The sequence below is a fragment of the Homo sapiens genome, chromosome 8 (genome assembly GCF_000001405.40).
Source record: "Homo sapiens chromosome 8, GRCh38.p14 Primary Assembly".
Lineage (NCBI taxonomy): Eukaryota > Metazoa > Chordata > Mammalia > Primates > Hominidae > Homo > Homo sapiens.
Window position 1 is genome coordinate 35,260,808 of NC_000008.11, and position 18,419 is coordinate 35,279,226.

Consider the following 18,419-nt stretch of genomic DNA (forward strand, 5'->3'; position numbering starts at 1 on the left):
TTGCCAAAAACGTTGTCTTTTTTGGGTATCCCAGTGGTTGCAGCATTAATCTACAGGCTGAGGATTAGCTCCAGACCCTGGTTCCAAGAAGGCACTCAGGACACTGATGACTGTTTCCAGAATGATCTGGGTTGGGATTTGCAGTATAATCTGATAAAGAACACACTTTGCCATTTCAGTGACTCAGAGGTATCATAATTTCCCTTTCTGTCTATTTTTTTCTTAAGCAGCCTTCACTGCTACGGTCACACCAGAAAGAATATTCTGAGTGGTAGAGTTACATTCTACTCTGAGTTTACTGCAGAGAAGCAATTAATTGTGAAACTATGTGAGTTTTTTAGTGCTGCTTCAGATGGACTTGCGCATCAAAGGGCCGCTTAAAATTCATGCACAGTAGCAACTGTGAAGGAACACCTAAGACTCATAAATAAGGCAAACCTATCTTAATTTATTGCCAGTACCTTCTATACCCATTGAGCTATTCAGAACCCTGCACAATTGATGTTTCTTTCCTCCAGTTATTTCAGTAAAAAATGAACTCTATTTTATGCCACACAAGCATACTAATAAACCAGGGTTTTGCTGCTTATAAAGGCAAACTGTCACCTGTTAAAATATGTAACTGTCATAGAAAGATAAAAAAGGATCATTTAATAATGATGAACAATGTGCATGTGGCATAAATAGAATCCAAAAGGTAAACAGCAGTTTATTATGCTAGAGCCAGCCAGAGCTATTTCTCAATGGGAGACTCTCAGTGCTCATCTTTTGTGCTCTTCCTTTTAAGGGAAATACAACCTGGCTTTGAAATGATTTGTGTGTGTAGGGGGGTGGGGGGCGTGTGTGTATTTCACGGAGGCTCATTACCGATTCAGGATATGGACTGTTGCCCTTATACTGAAAGCAAAAAATGGTTTTCAGGCATATGTTAACTCTGATGAGAACAATCTTAAGTGCACTATGTCACTATTTCCTTGAGTTTTATAACAGGGACCATTTAGAGGTTTCGTTGTGTTAGTAGGTTTGGGAAGGAGGTTGTTTTTAATTAAGCTCCTCAGCTGCTTTTTCGACTGTTTGAAGCCAGATATATATCTCTAGCAAGAATATGTCTGATGCTACTAAATAAAGTCAGTGCTGGCAAAAAATAAAAGTGGGTTATTGTAGTTGTCTGGGTTTCTTGATCTCTTTTTATTGACCTGTGCAAATAATACCTCCGTGGTACAGCACTGAAAATTCTCCAGATTAAGAGGATGATTCTGGGCACTGGGACAATGTTAAATTTGTGTACATGCTCACTAAATTTTAACAGTCATATGGGGTTCCTTGCCTCTGGTGCAATGAGTAAGAGCTTATAATGAAACTTTTTTTATTAGTAGATACTTCAGTTATACTTTATTAAACTTTAGGGAATTAAAATGAAAAGAGCTTCTCCAATAAGAGTTCCTTCTCCTCTAGAGTCATTTCTCCCTCTGTTTCCAGTTAGCATGTATTTACATTGACTAATGTCTTGGAAACTATAGTTATGGTCGGCCGAATAGATATTGACTGTTTCAAAGATTGTGTGAATATTTGCCCAATAGGCAGCCCTGTTTTCTTAAATATTTGGCCTTTCATATTAGGTTCAATTTCAAATGATTTAAAAGCTTACTTAAGTATTGAACACAGCCAAACCAGCTTTAAAAAAACAAACAAACAAGCCTTTCCAGCACAGTTCAATGTAAGGCATTGTATTCAGTAGGAAACAGACTTTCACCCAAACCTGAAGAGCAATGATTGTACTGAAAGAATTTAGAAGGGCTTCATTGGAGAGCCAGAGGGAGCTAGTTTCTGGGATTGAGAATTACAATAACTTGGATCCCAGCTCCATTACAACCAAAATGTCCTGTTTCCAGGGAGGTTTCTTCTTTTGGAGACTTCATTTCTCAGCAAGATGCTTAAAATAATTAAAATAATTGTGTTGCTTCTTAAAGTGATTTATAGACAGATAAACAATCCCTTCCTAAGTTCAAGATGGAATCCTGTGATACTAAATACTAGAGCAAGATTTGCCTACTTTCTCATATTCCATAGTACGATTAATCTTCAGTACCAGAAATCTATTTCTAAAAGCCTCTTGTTATTTTATCACTCCCCAAAAAGCAACAGTAGTTCCTTATTGCCATTAAGATAAGGAACAGACTTGGTAATGTGATGTATCCTCAGGCTACCATTCCAGTTTCATCTCTCACCACTGTCCACTCAGTACTTTATACTCCAACCACAAAACATATCATGAACTTTTCATAGCTCTGCACCTTCACATATTCTTTTTTAAGAGACAAAGTTGCTTCACCTCTCTATCAGGCTGACAAACTCCTATTTAACCCTCTAAGCCCATTTTAAAGGTGAAAACCACTGTAAATCCCTCTAATAATTCCTCTGAATAGAATGAATCACTACCCTCTGAGACCAGTTTCTTAAAATGTGGCATTTAATTTATCAAATTACAATTAATAAATTGCTTATTTCTGTCCATTTGCGCTAAATTTTGAGAGACTGCGTTTTAGTCATCTGTGTGTAGCACATGATACTTAATAAATTGTTATTTTTCTTAATTAAAAGCATTTTTTTTTTAGAGACAGGGTCTTGCTCTGTTACCCAGGCTGGAGTGCAGTCCAGCTCACTGCAGCCTTGAACTCCTGGGTTCATGTGAGCCTCACACCTCAGCCTGCTGAGTAGCTAGGACTACAGGCTCATGCCACTGCACCTGACTAAATAATTTTTGTTTCTAAGTCATAATGGAGTTTTTCTAGCCACCTAATAATGAAGCCACACATCTGTAGCTTTGTATCTGAACAATAAGACTTTAGTATTTAAAAGATGATTTGAATAGTAAGCCTTCATAATAGTAGAGTAGATGACAGAATACAAACTGAATAAATGACCTGACCTTAGGAATTAGAATTAGGTGGCTGATTTTTGCAATTTTTCAAATCCTCCTGGATGATCATCAAGTGACAACTGACTTGCCTTGTGGCAATAAAGCAAACTTCTAGCCTCTCACTTTCATTTGACAAGTGAGAGTAAATAATATTGTCTACCCCTCCTGTACTGGCTGCAAACTCCAATAGTATAAAATTGTCACAAGTTTATCAGAAAATAATGCACTCATGATTTTTTGCTATAATTAATACCAGTATTTATTTAATACATTTCTTAGAAAAGAAACCACTTTTATGTTTTGAGACTAAGCTTACAAATGGGTCATCCTTTGTTTGGTCCAGGCAAAAAACATAATCAAATAAGGTTTTGTGATTTGTAAGATAAAGTAGCATTTTGGAGAGTGAAAGCATGGGCTCATCTATATCTAGCTATCGCATATAAAGACTAAATTTACAGCAAAAATTGTAGCTTATCAATTCATTAATCTATTTGCTCAGGCACTGCAGATGTTCTACGTGCAAATGAATAGAGTGGTTAAATTCTTCCACAAGCTTTCAAAGTGGGATTTGCAATACAGTCTATTGGGGTGCAGGAGCAAAACGCCTTTTCATGTGAAATGTTTCAAGTATATAATAGGACATAGAGAATACTTCGTAATGATTATTCATGTGGCTGCACCAAGCTTTGGCCAACATCTTTTAATCTAGAAAATATTTGACCGGGTGCAGTGGCTCATGCCTGTCATTCCAGCACTTTGGGAGGCCGAGGTGGGTGGATCACCTGAGGCCAGGAGTTCGAGACCAACCTGACCAACAAGGTGAAACCCCATCTCTACTAAAAATACAAAAATTATAGCCAGGTGTGGTGGCAGGTGCCTGTAATCCCAGCTACTTGGGAGACTGAGACAGGAGAATTGCTTGAACCCCGGAGGCGGAGGTTGCAGTGAGCCGAGATCATGCCACTGCACTCCAGCCTGGGTGATGGAGCAAGACTCTGTCTCAAAAAAAAAAAAAAAAAAAAAAAAGAGTAAAAGGTGTTAAGCTTTTTTTATATATAAAGTACAAATTGCCTCTTGTGCCTACTCAGGCTATTGGCAGGGCCATCCTGTGTACCTGAGATGTGTTAAGAGTAGAGTGGAGTTTGCACAGCCCAGAAGGCTTGCAGAGTACAGCTGAGGGATCCTCTAGTCTTCACTGATCTGCATAAAATGGGCAGATGGTTCATAAATATTCCTGCAAACAAGTAGTACATTGAAAACAGTCATAATAACGCAAACCGCAAATGAAACCAAAGAAAGTGGAAGAGATGTGCTTCTCCAGGTCTCAGTGCATACTCTCTATCTTCCATATTGTGAGGAAAAACAGTAACAGTCAAAGCAGGTTTAACAAGAAGTTAGACAAATCACTTTAAAGTGACCTTATTTAGACTACAGTTAACAATAAATTCTACTCTTAGGTTATATTAAGACTGTGACCTTATCATAGTCTGATGCTATTACTTAATCATATTCTCTAAATATGGAGCTATAATGATTAGCAAGGTGTGTTATGCTAGGTCTTTTTTTTTCCCCATAAAGATTCTTCATCTTTAGAGTAGGGATTGACAAGCTTTTTCTGTAAAAAAAGATAGATAGTAAAAATATTAAGCTTTTCAGCTCATGAGTTCTCTATTACCAGCATGTCAATTCTGCTGGGAAAAGCAGCTATAGACAATCCATTAATGAATGACTGTCACTAGGTTCCAATAAAACTTTATTTATAAAAGCAGGAAGGAAGCAGGCTGGATTTGACCTGCAGGCTATAGTTTGCTGACCCTTGCATTAGAGACACATATAGAAATGCTTATAAAAATAATATGATGGCTGGGCGCAGTGGCTCAGGCCTGTAATCCCAGCACTTTGGGAGGCCGATGTGGGCGGATCACCAGGTCAGGAGATCGAGACCGTCCTAGCTAACATGGTGAAACCTCTTCTCTACTAAAAATACAAAAAATTAGCCGGGCATGGTGGCAGGCGCCTGTAGTCCCAGCTACTCCAGAGGCTGAGGCAGGAGAATGGCGTGAACCCAGGAGGCAGAGCTTGCAGTGAGCCAAGATCGCGCCACTGCATTCCAGCCTGAGCGACAGAGCGAGACTCGTCTCATAATAATAATAATAATAATAATAATAATAATAATAATATATCTGGGATTAGCATCAAAATGTGTTAGAAATGTTAGGGAGAGAGGGTAGAGATATAAATGAGAACAGATGGGCTATGTATTGATAATTGTTGAAGTAAGGTGATGGGTACATGATAGTATATTACATATTTCTGACTGTATGTGTTTAACTTTTCAATAGTAAAAATAAGCCTCCAGAACATTAGGGCAAACCTCTTATTTTTTTCTTCAAAATCTTTAAAATCATCTTTCAATTTAGTAAGTTGACCACCTTTCACTAAATTTGATGATAAATGTTTGGGAGCTTATTCGAGGTTTCTTTAAAACAAAAGATAATTATCCACATACCACTGGAAGAAAAGTGTGTTTCTCTTTGCTTTGTAAAGGTGCCTGAAATAATATGTAGCCAACATTATAGCATTCAATTGAAATGTATTCCTTTGCTGACAAATACTGTTGGACCATATATAGTAAATACTGTTGAACCATATATAGTAAATACTGTTGAAGATTTGAAGGAACAGGTATTAGAACAAACTAGTCATGGGAGGTTTGCCAAATGGTTAGGTTAAAGTGCAGATGTTCCAACATCTCAGAGCTTATGTGGTTTGTTAGATTATATTTCAGTTGTGAAGTACATAAAGGTCTATTCCAGTAACTATTGTATGGGAAACCACCCCAAATTTAGTGGCATAAGACATCCATTTTATTATGCTCTTGGATCCCACTGGTCAGGAATTCAGCAGAGTGCAATGGGGATGGCTTGTCTCCGCTCCATGAACTCTGGGGCCTCAGTAGGGAAGAATTGAATGCCTGGAAGTGACCAGAATGGTTGGGGCTGGAATCAAATGCAAGTTTCTTCACTCATATATCTAATACCTTGGTGAAGGCTGGGCTCAGCTGGGATGGTTAATGGAGCACCTACACATGGCCTTTTTGTATAGTTTAGCTTTTCATGGCATGGCAGCTGGGAGGAAGCATCCCAAAATGGAGCCTCTGGAGAATGCCTATTCCAAGACAAGTAGACAGAAGACAGAATTTTAAGATGCAGTCTTGGAAGTCACTTCTGCCATGCTATATAGATGGAAGCTATCATGAGGCGACCAGATTGAAAGGTTGGAGACATAGAACTCACCTCTAGTTGGAAATAATGTCAACATTTTTGGGACCATATATCACTGCCACAGGGACTGATTTTTTTTTTTTTTTTTTGATGAGCCGTTAAGGGAAAGTTAACCCAGAGATATATACCCACTGTAAGCAATAAATAAATTTTGCAAGTGTAATCACTGATTGAGTAGTCATTTTGATGGCGGAAAAAGAATTTTTCCAGGGTAAGTTTAATAAGAAACCACCCTACATGAAGTTTATCTATTTCTCCATCATATATGATTGAGCTCTTTAGACATTAAAAATCTTCAACCACATAGGCACAAAGAATAGCATGTTGTATTGATATAGCTAATTTCATAAAAGAACAAGACTGTTAAATTAGTCTAGAATCTTGACAATATTTTGTGCTGAGTTGGGAAGTGACCATGAATATTTGTTGTTGTTGTTATTGTTTTGAGATGGAGTCTCACTCTGTCACCCAGGCTGGGGTGCAATGGTGCGATCTCGGCTCACTGCAACCTCCGCCTCCCGGATTCAAGTGATTTTCCTGACTCAGGCTCCCAAGTAGCTGGGATTACAGGCACCCACCACCATGCCCAGCTAATTTTTGTATTTTCAGTAGAGACGGGGTTTCACCATGTTGGCCAGGCTGGTCTTGAACTCCTGACCTTGTAATCTGCCTGCCTTGGCCTCCCAAAGTGCTGGGATTACAGGCATGAGCCACTGCACCCGGCCTGACCATGAATATTTTTTGAACCGCATAGATGTTCTCTGGCTGTCCTAGGCAAAAGAACCTAAAGAACTGTCAAACATCAAAATGAATACGTATTTTTTTTTCAGAAAGGAAAATTGTTCCAGGTTTGCTGACCTTTTCTGTGGTGGCAAGTGAGTATCACTAGATTTCTAACTTGCAAAGATTTTGAAAAAAGAAAGACAAAACTACATCTGATGTTTCTCATCATCATAAAAATGAATGAAAACATAAATGATTCTAAAAAATAAACTTATAGAATGTTGAGAATATTTAAAAGTTAGAGTTTGGAAGTGAGTGCATTAATTTATGATTTTTTTGTTCCAAATACTCTTTGTTTCCTATAAATTCCCATATTCCCTTAGAAAACTTAGAAACATAATATTATAAATGTACTTTAATGTTTTCCAAATAACAAAATTTTCAATGGTTTTCCAACTGTTTGTTAAAAATATAAATTTCAGTATCTTCTGATTCTTTTTTAGAACAACTTAGTGACATCAGTGAAGATGAAAATTTATTAAATGAAACTAACAAAAAAACCTGAAAAACGTGGATGGAACTGAACAATGATTAAATTACTTAATAAGTGCACCCAGAAATGTAGTTCTTTTGGTCTCATAGATTCCTTACAATGTCTTTTTCCACTCTAAAAGCCATTACAACCTAGTACTATAGTGATAAACATAATTTAAAAACAGAGCCTTGAACTCCTTTATCACCAAGTAAACCAAAATAGTCAAAAGTACTATTGCATATTAAATCACATTTCTCTGGCTAGGGTTATTAATAACTAATGTTTCTGTGATCTCAAAACTTTTGTGCCCTATTTTAATAATGTCACACATTTAAAAAATATTTACTTCATATTTTGTCATTACTTAAAATTTTCTGTTTGGGATATATTTTACAATATAATAATAATAGATGACTTATTTAGAACTTATTAGACTCTGGGCACTGTTCTAAATATATTGCTTATTAACTCTTTTAATGCTCATAACACCCCTATGAAAATGATACTGTTTATCTCTGCCTTAAGGATGAGGAATACAGTCAGAGAAAGAAGTATCTTATGCAGGGTCCCTACATAGATAAGAAGACATTACTGTATGTATTTTCTAAATAAATCTACATTTATTGGGGATCCAATAAAAATTATAACTGAACAAATTATTCAGTGACCAAAGTTTGGCTATCACTAACCTGGAGGATGAACCACGAATTCATGAAACAGTATGTGGGTGGGTAACCATAGTTTACATTAATCTATTGCCTATTACAAAATAACTAGAAGAGAATATTTAAATGTTTCTGGCATAAAGAAAACACATATTTAAGGTGATGGATATCCCAGTTACACTGATTTGATCTTTACAAATTATATGAATGTAGTAAATTATCACATGTAACCTGAAAATTGGTACATTTATTATGTACCAATAAAAATGACAAAACAAAACAAAAAATGATATCTGGACTATTCTCAGCCTAGCCCTAGTCCACAGTCATCCCATTTGCCAAGCGTGCTCTAGTCAGACCCCAGGTGGCCCTGAACACCCATCTTCCTTCCTGTCTCTCTGTCTGGGGTGTGCACTCTCCTCTTCTTATATTAGCCTTTCTAGTCTTACCTGTCTTGCTTACTCATTCTTTGAGATCCAGTTCAAATGCTCGCTTCTTCATGCTGCCCTCCTTGACTTACATCTGCAGAATTCGCAGCTCCCACGGTCACCATTTCCACTTGCTTTATGATAGTGTCAATGTTTTCCTGTATTTGTTGATTAGTTTTTTTAAGTTTTCTCGTTTATCTTTCCCAGTAATACATAAGCTTGCAAAGGCCATTAACCATATTGGGTTCAACTTATTTAAAAAAAATTTCTTCTGTTTGGCACAATGCCAGACATATTCTCTTCCAGTTTCTCCTACTGCTGTGCTGATATTCAGCCTCCCATCGCCGGTTTGGGTATGAGATGCTGTCATCAGTACTTTAGTAGTCTATTTCATTTCATCTGAACAATGACCCAGTGAAGCAGGTCCTTTAGGAGACTATGTTTACAGGGATTAAGCAGTGAGTCCAAGGTCACACAGATGGGTGTGGAGATTCAAACTCAGGTCTGTGACTCTGAAGGGCATGTCCATATCCATTCTGCTACATAAAATCCTGTGTTCAGTACAGCTTTGATGGCATCCCCCAGCCACTAAAGTATGAGAGATCTTTAGTGGCACAGAGTAGGGTTTTACTGTTTGGAGTAGGATGGGAGAAGGTATTTATTCTACTGCTTCCTTTTGAATGTATCTCTTGTGTATATCAGAAGATAATTGAGAGGGAAGGACAAGAAATGAAACTGAGGCAACCAGAGAGATGAACTTTTCTTTCCACCAGCCATGAAATTTAGCTCAGTGTCGAGCCATAAGAAATTCTCCCAATTTTCCTCCTGTACTGTTTGTGTTTCATTTTTAAACGGTCACCTAGTGGATGCTTGAGTGTGGCCAGGTAAACTCATTATGTGGTAAGCAGTCGATTTCTTGGGCTTTCGATAGAAGATTGCATGTGGTTATAGCTGTTTGTAGAGTTTGGTGCAAGATATTGCTGCACCTACTACACTCATGTAGCTGATTTAATTCAACCAATGTCCATCTACTTTTCAGTGGAATCATTCTCTCCCGATTGTCTCAGGAGACGAGCTTTATGAGAAACCATTTTCTGACTCTGATTATATTGAGTTAATTTTTAACCCTAGTTACCCAGCTTCTGCCTTTTTCTTTTGAATAGTCTTAATAAACAATAATGATAATACAATAGGCTTTCTTAATTAGTGATTATGACAAATTGATAGACTGTATGTGTCATTATCGTTATAGTCATGTTTGGTGCAGTTTAGTATATTCTTCAAATTAAAACTAAAATCTTGTGTCCTGTCAGATCTTAAATGATAAAATCTAAGACACAGCATCACTGCTCATTTATATTTTTATGAACCTTTTGGCTTTGTACAAGTGTCTAGCAGATACCTGCATCATGGCCGTTTAAAACAGTGGCTCATAACATACAGTAAATTTATAGGCAGTCATTTCTTCCAGTTGCCAACTTATGTCACTGTACTTGTGGCTGCAATAAAAAAAAAATCACTATTTATTTCTTTAACTTTTAACATTGAAATGTGCCCCTATGGTATATATATATATATTATGGATATATTACTATGTTACTGGGGTAGGTCTCCTGCCATTTCTCATCAGCAGAGCACATCTATTCGGGTGAGCTACATTTTTAAAATATATACATGTCACAGTAATCATAACTGATATTTTAAGAGAGATTAATGAATTCTGTCCTATGGCTACATTGCAGGAAAATAAGCATCCTTAACAGGAATGCAAAAAATTTGATTTTGGAGATTTTTGTCATTCAACAAATATATTTGTATATATAAATTAAAATATATTTAAATATAAATCTAAAAAAGTATACCTGTATAAATATAGGTATACCTATATGTATAGGTATACATATGTATACATATATGTGTGTATGTATATGTATACACACATGCACGTGTGTATGTATATGCATACACACGTGCATGTGTGTATGTATATGCATACACACGTGCACGTGTGTATGTATATGTACACACATGCACGTGTGTATGTATATGTATACACACACATATGTGTGTGTATGTATATGTATACACACATATGTGTGTAGGTATACCTATATTTATACAGGTACCTATATTTAGGTCTACATATGTATACATATATGTATACAGGTATATATTTTATATATGTATACATATGTATACCTATATTTATACAGGCATACATATATATTTATATTATACATGTATTATATATTATATTACATGTAACATATATTATGTATACCATATGTATACCTATATTTATACAGGTATACATATATATGTATACATGTATACATGTATACATATATATTTATACATGTATACATGTATACATATATATTTATACATGTATACATGTATACATATATTTACATAGGCACTCTATCTGTATAAGTGCCTATAATTTGCTGGCCGTTGCTATAGGCAGGGGATAAGACAGACAAAGTTTTTCCCCTCATGGAGCTTCCATTTGAGTAGATATGTTTGAAATAAATTGCAGCCCTGAGGTTATCTTTTGAGAAGCCTTCATGTCACCGCTGTAGATAAGAATATCATGGCAAACACAGTATGGATGGGAGCTCTTTTTAGCTGCACGTGCTGTAGAGCCTTGGTTAGGTGTAACATATGGTCATTCTACCCACCACTAAAATAAAACTCCGGGAGAACACAGCAGCTGTGGAATGGAATTAATGCTAGGCTGTTTTTGAAACTGTGGGATTTTCATGAAAAGAAAAAAAATAAAACATGAGGTTGAATTGCTGAGTGTTTATGGAGCCCCAAACAAAACTGAAAAATGATGTTTAAAAAGTAACTATTACTTGAAGTATATTTTCAGTTGACTAGCTGGAGAATGTAATGATTTCTTCCTTTTTTAGAATTTTCCGTTTTAAATGACCGTCCTTGGTTGGGTTCCCCTGGGATGTGGGCTCTGAGTGCAGACCAGCTTGCGGGAAGTTCACTGGTCACACCCTGGGCATCAGCTCTGAGGGGAAGAGAAGACTCAGGGCTAGTAGAGGGAGAACTTCAAGGTCAATATCCTTGCAGCAGAGGCCACAGTGGATTCCACGGGGAGCTCTGGAACTACAGTGGCTCTTTAGAGTGTTCCAAACTCAGGCAAGTGCCCGGGACTTGAACACTGCTCTGCCCTGCTTTCATCCCCAATGTCACCTAACATGGCCTGCCCCTGGGGAGAGGGTGACTTAGAGTGAGCCAACCCTTTACAGCCCAGGACTGCTTTCTACACTGTGCACCAGCTGCCGCAGTGCTCCTTAGTGGACTCAGGGGTGCTGTAGGACTCAGTAGGAGCTACTAGCTCAAAACAGTTCGCCACTTCTACATAAGATTGCAGTTTTCCTTCCAAAACCAGGTTTTCAGTAGTCACTGTGATTAAAAAGCAAGTAACATGTGAAACTCAAAGTAAAATAGAAAACAAGGGTGGTGATGTCCAGTCTTCCAGAGTTTGAAAAGTTGTGTAGTGCCTAGTGGGACTTGAATACTTATTAAGCTGTTTGAGCTACTTATTAAACAGTACATTAGGTATCACTTTTAATTTAAGGAATGCCAGGAGAGGCTCCAAAGACTGATATAATTTGAGGAACTCTGGTCTAAGCAATTGCTCTAAGCAAATTGTGGGTGAGGAGGGCTCATGAATGGGGAGGACAACTGAAAGTTGTCAGCCACCAATACTCCCAGTAGGCAGGAGAATGAGTGCTTTTGTCTTAAAGACGGAATCTGGACTTAACTGACAGCATTCATTCATTTGGCTAAATATGGAGTATCTCAATAATCTTTTCAGATACAAGTTTTTGGAGTCCCCAGACACAACACCAAATAAAACAGCACTTCCCGAATTAATCAACTAGAGTCAATTAAAACGATTATAAGAGTTTGGTAATGCATGTATCTTATCGTTCTGTTGCTACACAACATGTTAACACACACATAAATAACTGTGAAGAAATAGATAGGTGTTTCAAGATGGAGTCAGTAGGCGTAATTTAAGTACTGAAGGTCCTTGCCCCAACTTTTCATTTTGAACTGCCACAGCGGATATTATTAGGATGAAAAAGCTTACAGCAAGGCCTCTTTCAGACTTAAGGAATAAAAACTTCCCTCTGTGTAAGTCAATCTGAATTGTGGTGGGAAACACAGTGTTAAAGAGTTTTCTTTATGTTTAGAAAGCTCCCCAAAAGGTGGATTTCAGAAGTATTTTTCCCCAAGGAAATTAGGGAAAATTAATAGCTGAAACTCAGGAAAAAGATACTCATTTTAATTTCAGTGTTTTAGTCTCATATCATAACCACTCTAGGATGGTAATATTTGAAAATTCTTGCCACTTGACCGATGGGTGTTTTTTGGCTTGCATAAAATCGGTTGCTTTTCCAGTAAGCTTGGGTCAGAAAACTCTTACTAAGTGTCCACAAAGCCTGGAAAAGTTTGTTAACTATAAATTTAACATCCTCCTTCATAAATTTTATTTATAACCCTGGGAGAAATACAGGCTTAACAACCCAAAGCATTTCATTTTCTCATAGGCTTCCCAGTATCATTTTTATGCCTTTTATGGAGTTTTTATATTAATGTCAATTTATCGTGGTTTTTTTTTTTTAAACTTTCTCAGTAATGAGGATTCATTTGTCTACCTCAACTGACTGAGCATAATTATGGTCTGAATGGAGCTCATTTTAACCTTTAAGAATCTCAAATCTTGTCTTTGTAAAGTTCAAAAGAGCTTGCTGGTACCAGGTGGCATTTAGAGAGTAAAATCTTTTCTTAGTCATCAGAATATATAAGTTCCTCCTACTATGGTGTAAAGGCGAGTTTTTAAAGACACCACAGTGCAAAAGGACTGCCAGGGTGAAAAGCCGAGAGTGAAATGGTTTCTTCAGATGATTTAGCAAATCTCTAGAGAAGGATTTGTCTTAAGAACTCATTGCTTAAGTTCAGCATAGCGGCACTCGTGTTCTAAGAGACTAAACTGCCTCAAAAGGGAGAGAAAATAATTGTCTAGCCAGATTGTATTTGTAACCTGTTTATCCAGCAGATATTGGATGAAGTTCAGCACCTCTGGTGTGTGGCCTGTGAGTGTGGTTGTGAGTGTGCACATGTGTCCAGCCTAGAAGACGACGGCCTGTGGATTGATGACAAGCGTTTATATCAGCCTGAAGAGAACCTCCAAATCTCATTGCTGTGTGATATGCCACGTTTTGTCCTTTGGTGGCAGACTTGGATAACAACATCAATTCATCATTTTATTTGTCTCCTAACACAGGTGGGCTGACCTGCAGCTTTATGATGTAAAAGTTTGTGTTTGTATTTGAAATATTGAAAATGTATTTGAATCATAGGCAACCACAACCCAAGAACATTTTTGTTGGCAAAATGATTTAATATATGCATAAAATATTTAAAAATTTTATCAATTCTAAAAAATATATTTTTCTTTGGGAAGCCAAGGCAGGTGGATCACCTGAGGTTGGGAGTTTGAGACCAGCCTGGCCAACATGGTGAAACCCCGTCTCTCCTAAAAATACAAAAAATTGGCTGGGCGTAGTGGCAGGTGCCTGTAATCCCAGCTACTCAGGAGGCTGAGGCAGGAGAATTGCTTGAACCTGGGAGGTGGAGGTTGTAGTGAGCCAAGATCGCACCACTGCACTCTGGCCTGGGTGACAGAGCAAGACAACGTCTCAAAAAAAGAAAACAAAACAACAACAAAATATATATTTTTATATATATATATATTTATGAAAACATAATGAAATAAGAAGACAAAGCTGCACTCTTCCCCTTTCACTTGCTCCCTCCTTTTGTGCTACCTATTTTGACCACATTTCACTCCCACCTATTTCCTATCTTTCCTACTACCCTTCCTCCCAAAGACCTTGGGTAGAAGAAATCTAATATTTTGAATCAAAATTTCATAACAGATATCACCATCTGTTATAAATAAATTAATGTGTCCTAATGTCAGGTAAAGAGTGTTGAAAAAAAATTCCATAAATATAAATCAGTATCATTGTGACAAGTCAATGTGGCAAAATGTGTCTTTCATACAGAAGAACATGACCTGGTTTTCTTTTCTCTGGGGCAATATCGGTGAAATCTTTTATTCATTTTCTTAGTTATTTTTGTTTTGTTTGTGCACATTTCAGCTCCATGAAGTTATGCTTATTTTAATTGTTTTCATTATTTGTGGAAGCCCGGTTGTATTTTGACAAGCATGGCTTGCCATCTGGCATACGTAGAATCTAATCTTGTCTTCACCATTTACTCTCTGTGTGACCTGGAGGAAATCACTGTGGCAGTTTCCTCATCTGTAAAATGGGCATAGTCAAGTTTATCTCCTGGGGCTTGAAGTAACATATGTAAAGTGCCATTGATTTGCCTTTAACTTCAGTTTTGTTTGTGTGCCTTAACTTTTATACACCTATATTGTAAGTAGTTTTTATTTATAATTACATTTTTTTTCTCATCACACCAAGACCTTCTGGAAACAAAATAGTTTAACATTTCTAAGGGATTAGGGATGTATGGCCAGATAAATGGGATATGTCCATGTACTGAGTCCATTGTTTGGAAGATGGGGTGGGTAGAGATAGAAGATTTCCTTGTGGTTTAATATAGGATCAATTTTTTGTTAATGATTCATGGAAATTGAAGATACAACGTGTTTTTTTATTGGCAGGTTGTGAAGATTTCAGTGTACATCTATTTAATCACTCTTCTTAATAAATTTTTGAAATCCTCAGAATAAATTGTCAGTAAAGAGGTTTACACTGATTTGTCCCATAATAACATGATAACAGCAGTAAGCTTGCCCTCTGAGTGTTAAATTGAATATTGACATATAATAGATCAAAGTTTATATATGTGGAAGTTGTTTTTTTTCTCCCCCCTAACATCAGAATTGCTTCTGGGTCAGCAAGAGTTGACTGGAAGTTAATTGGTTGAATTAGCACAGCTAATAAATAACCCATCAGAGTGTCAGACTCAGATGCGTAGACAACGGATGTCAAGGAGTCCCATGTGATCGGTGCCAGCACTTTCCAACATAGGCTGAGCATTTGTCAGTGTACTTCAGGCACTTTCAAGTCATCAGCATGGCTGTACATATTTTGAGATAGTTGCATGTAGCTACCTTAAGCTGATATCATTAAAGTTTTGATTTGTCCATCTCTTTTCACTTGTTTTGATTCCACATTCACTAAGCAATTTTCTGAGTTATGATATAATCTCCCATGTAGGTCTGTATGCAAGAAGAAATCAGGGGAATTTTTGCATGATATAGTGTGGCAGACCAGGTCTCACTAGCCTCCATAGCAACTGTTTCAGTACTGACTGAGTGGTTAGGTGAAATATTAAAAGCCAGTGCTCTTATACAGAGGCTGTAATGTAACAAAAGCCCACAGAGTTTTGCCTAGTCCAATCCTGAACCTTAAGGCATGATTAAACAAGTTTACTTGGAGGTTTACTAAATCAAACCTTTATGATTTAGCAGGAGACAAAATAAGGTTTATCACCCTAGCACCTGGACCCATTTGGATTAAGTAAACTTACTGAGGCTCCAGAAGAAGGTCTTCAGGACTCAGAACTTATAGATTAAAAGAAGTTAATCACTAATGTCTTTAGATGAATGCACACTTACACATAGACATATAGCTTAGAAGTTATATAAGCTCTGGAAAACTTTGTAATTTTGAGTTGGTCTGGCGATAATTTCCAGGCCTTCCCCCGTAACCGGTTACAGAAATAAAAACTCTTTTCCTCTCCAGTTCATCTGCATCTCATTATTGGGACATGAGAAATAGCAGCCCAACCCCCAGTTTGATCTGGGAACAACTGTGCTTGGGACAGTTATCTATTGCTGTAAATTAATAAATTAGCATTGAAACTATTGCTGTGTCTGCTGGCAGGAATATATCCTTAGGGCAGTTTCTTAAAGGCTAGTACATGGATTGTGCATTTTTGGAGCATTTTCTCAATTGTGGAGAGTTTTTGATTACATTTCTTTGATAATTCTTTTTCTGTGTCCTCTCTGTTGTCTGATTGGTGCTCCTATAATGCATATTGAATGTCCTGTACCTGCCTTCATTGTCATTTAGCTTTTCTTTTTTAATCTTCATCTCTTTATTCTTACCCCTGAGTCTTGGGTGACTTTTCTCAAGCTTTTACTTTACTGATTTGATTTTTTTCCAGAATCCTGACTGCCGCTCACGGCCCTCATTGTTGTCTCTCATTATGTGAGCTGGGCTTTCTATTTTTCCTGCTCTTGACTGTTTCTTTTCATGACCTTCTACTCTCATGTCAGAGATTCAGTGTGCTATTGAGTTCTGCTAAAATAATAAATTTAAAATAAGTACTTCCATCTCTTGTTGTCTTTCTTGGGAAGATGGTCACTTTGCTTCTTCAAAATTTTGCTTATGTATGGGGGAATACCTTTGCTTTTCAAAGAGTAGCAATTACAGTGGGTTCTTTCAGAGATGGTATTGAATGTTCTTCAAATCATTCAGGCTTTAATGAAGGGAGGAGAGAAAATTTGAGAGTCAGCAGCTTGGGCAGGGGTGGCCAGAAGCAAACTCAGTACCCGAGGCTGCCAGACCTATTTGTTGCCTGTTTCTTTCTATAGTTAGTGTGCAGGGGTTAGTTAGCCTCCCCCTTCCTTTCCTGGTCTGGGGCTTCTGATTTAACAGCCAGCCAGGACTGGGCTCCATCCTTCATTCCTGGTGAAAGCCAGTCTTCATCTAGCACTGAGTTCTGATGTCTGGTCCCTGCTCACAGTGCCCTCCAACTCCTGCTGTGCCGCCCAGATGCACTGGGAAAGTCACGTGTGCTTCCGGCTGCCCTCTGGCCACACTCATCAGCAGCCCTGACACTGTTACCTAATGGCCAGTAGTGAGCTGGGATCACTTCCACAACCTTCCCAGGTGCACGCTTTCTTCACATTTAAAATGTCTTCATTAGGGTGGTTTTCCTCAGTCTGACTCCATCTGCTTTATATCTAGCAAAAAAATCCTTGTTCTTTTTGTTGTGAAAAATATAAGCAGATTATTCCTTATTAAAAAAATAGTTGGTCATTTCAGTGGATATTTGAATTGGGGGATGGAAATAATTGTGTTTGCAGCTGTACATTACCTAGAGAACCAAATTTCATTTTTCTGTTGTTGCTAGGGATGTAAATTTATTTATTATTTATTATTTTTAAAATAAAAATTATATATGTATATGGTATACACATGTTTTGATGTAAGTATACATGGTGGAAGAGTATTGCAGTCAAACAAATTAACATATTCATCTCCTCACATAGTAACCTTGTTTTTCTGGTGATGACAGCACCTGAAATCTACTCTCTTAGTGAATTTCCAGAACCCAGTACAGCATTATTAACTATAGTCATCATGCTGTGCCTTAAATCTCTACACTTATTCATCCTATATTCATCTTACAAAGCTTGGTAACCTTTGATGAACACCTCCTCATTTTCCCACCTCTCTGCCCCTGGCTATCAGATATCTTTAAAAAATAATCCACCACTAAATGTTAAGTTTTGTTTAGTATGGTGGGTGCCAGTTATTGTCACCAGTAATGAGTGATTATCTACCCTAAGAAAGAGCCAGGATTTATAGCCTTGAAGAAATACAATTTCTGCCCTGTCCCAGGCTCCCTGCTATGACCGCCAGCCTAGGAGGCTCTGTCGAACTCCAGCAGAAACTCTCATCCTGCTGAGCTACTCAGAGGAGGCCACGGAGTATGCTGAATTCTAATGATGCTGTGTACACTCAATGCCTGTCTACTCAGTTCTTATGTAAATAGTGTCTGATGCTT

The 18,419-nt window shown here is 37.5% G+C and overlaps 1 protein-coding gene across 17 annotated transcripts in view; it reads left to right on the forward strand.

The window, feature by feature from the left end:
• UNC5D (unc-5 netrin receptor D) overlaps positions 1–18,419 on the forward strand; it is a 561,066-nt gene that overhangs the window by 25,333 nt on the left and 517,314 nt on the right. The window lies entirely within an intron of this gene.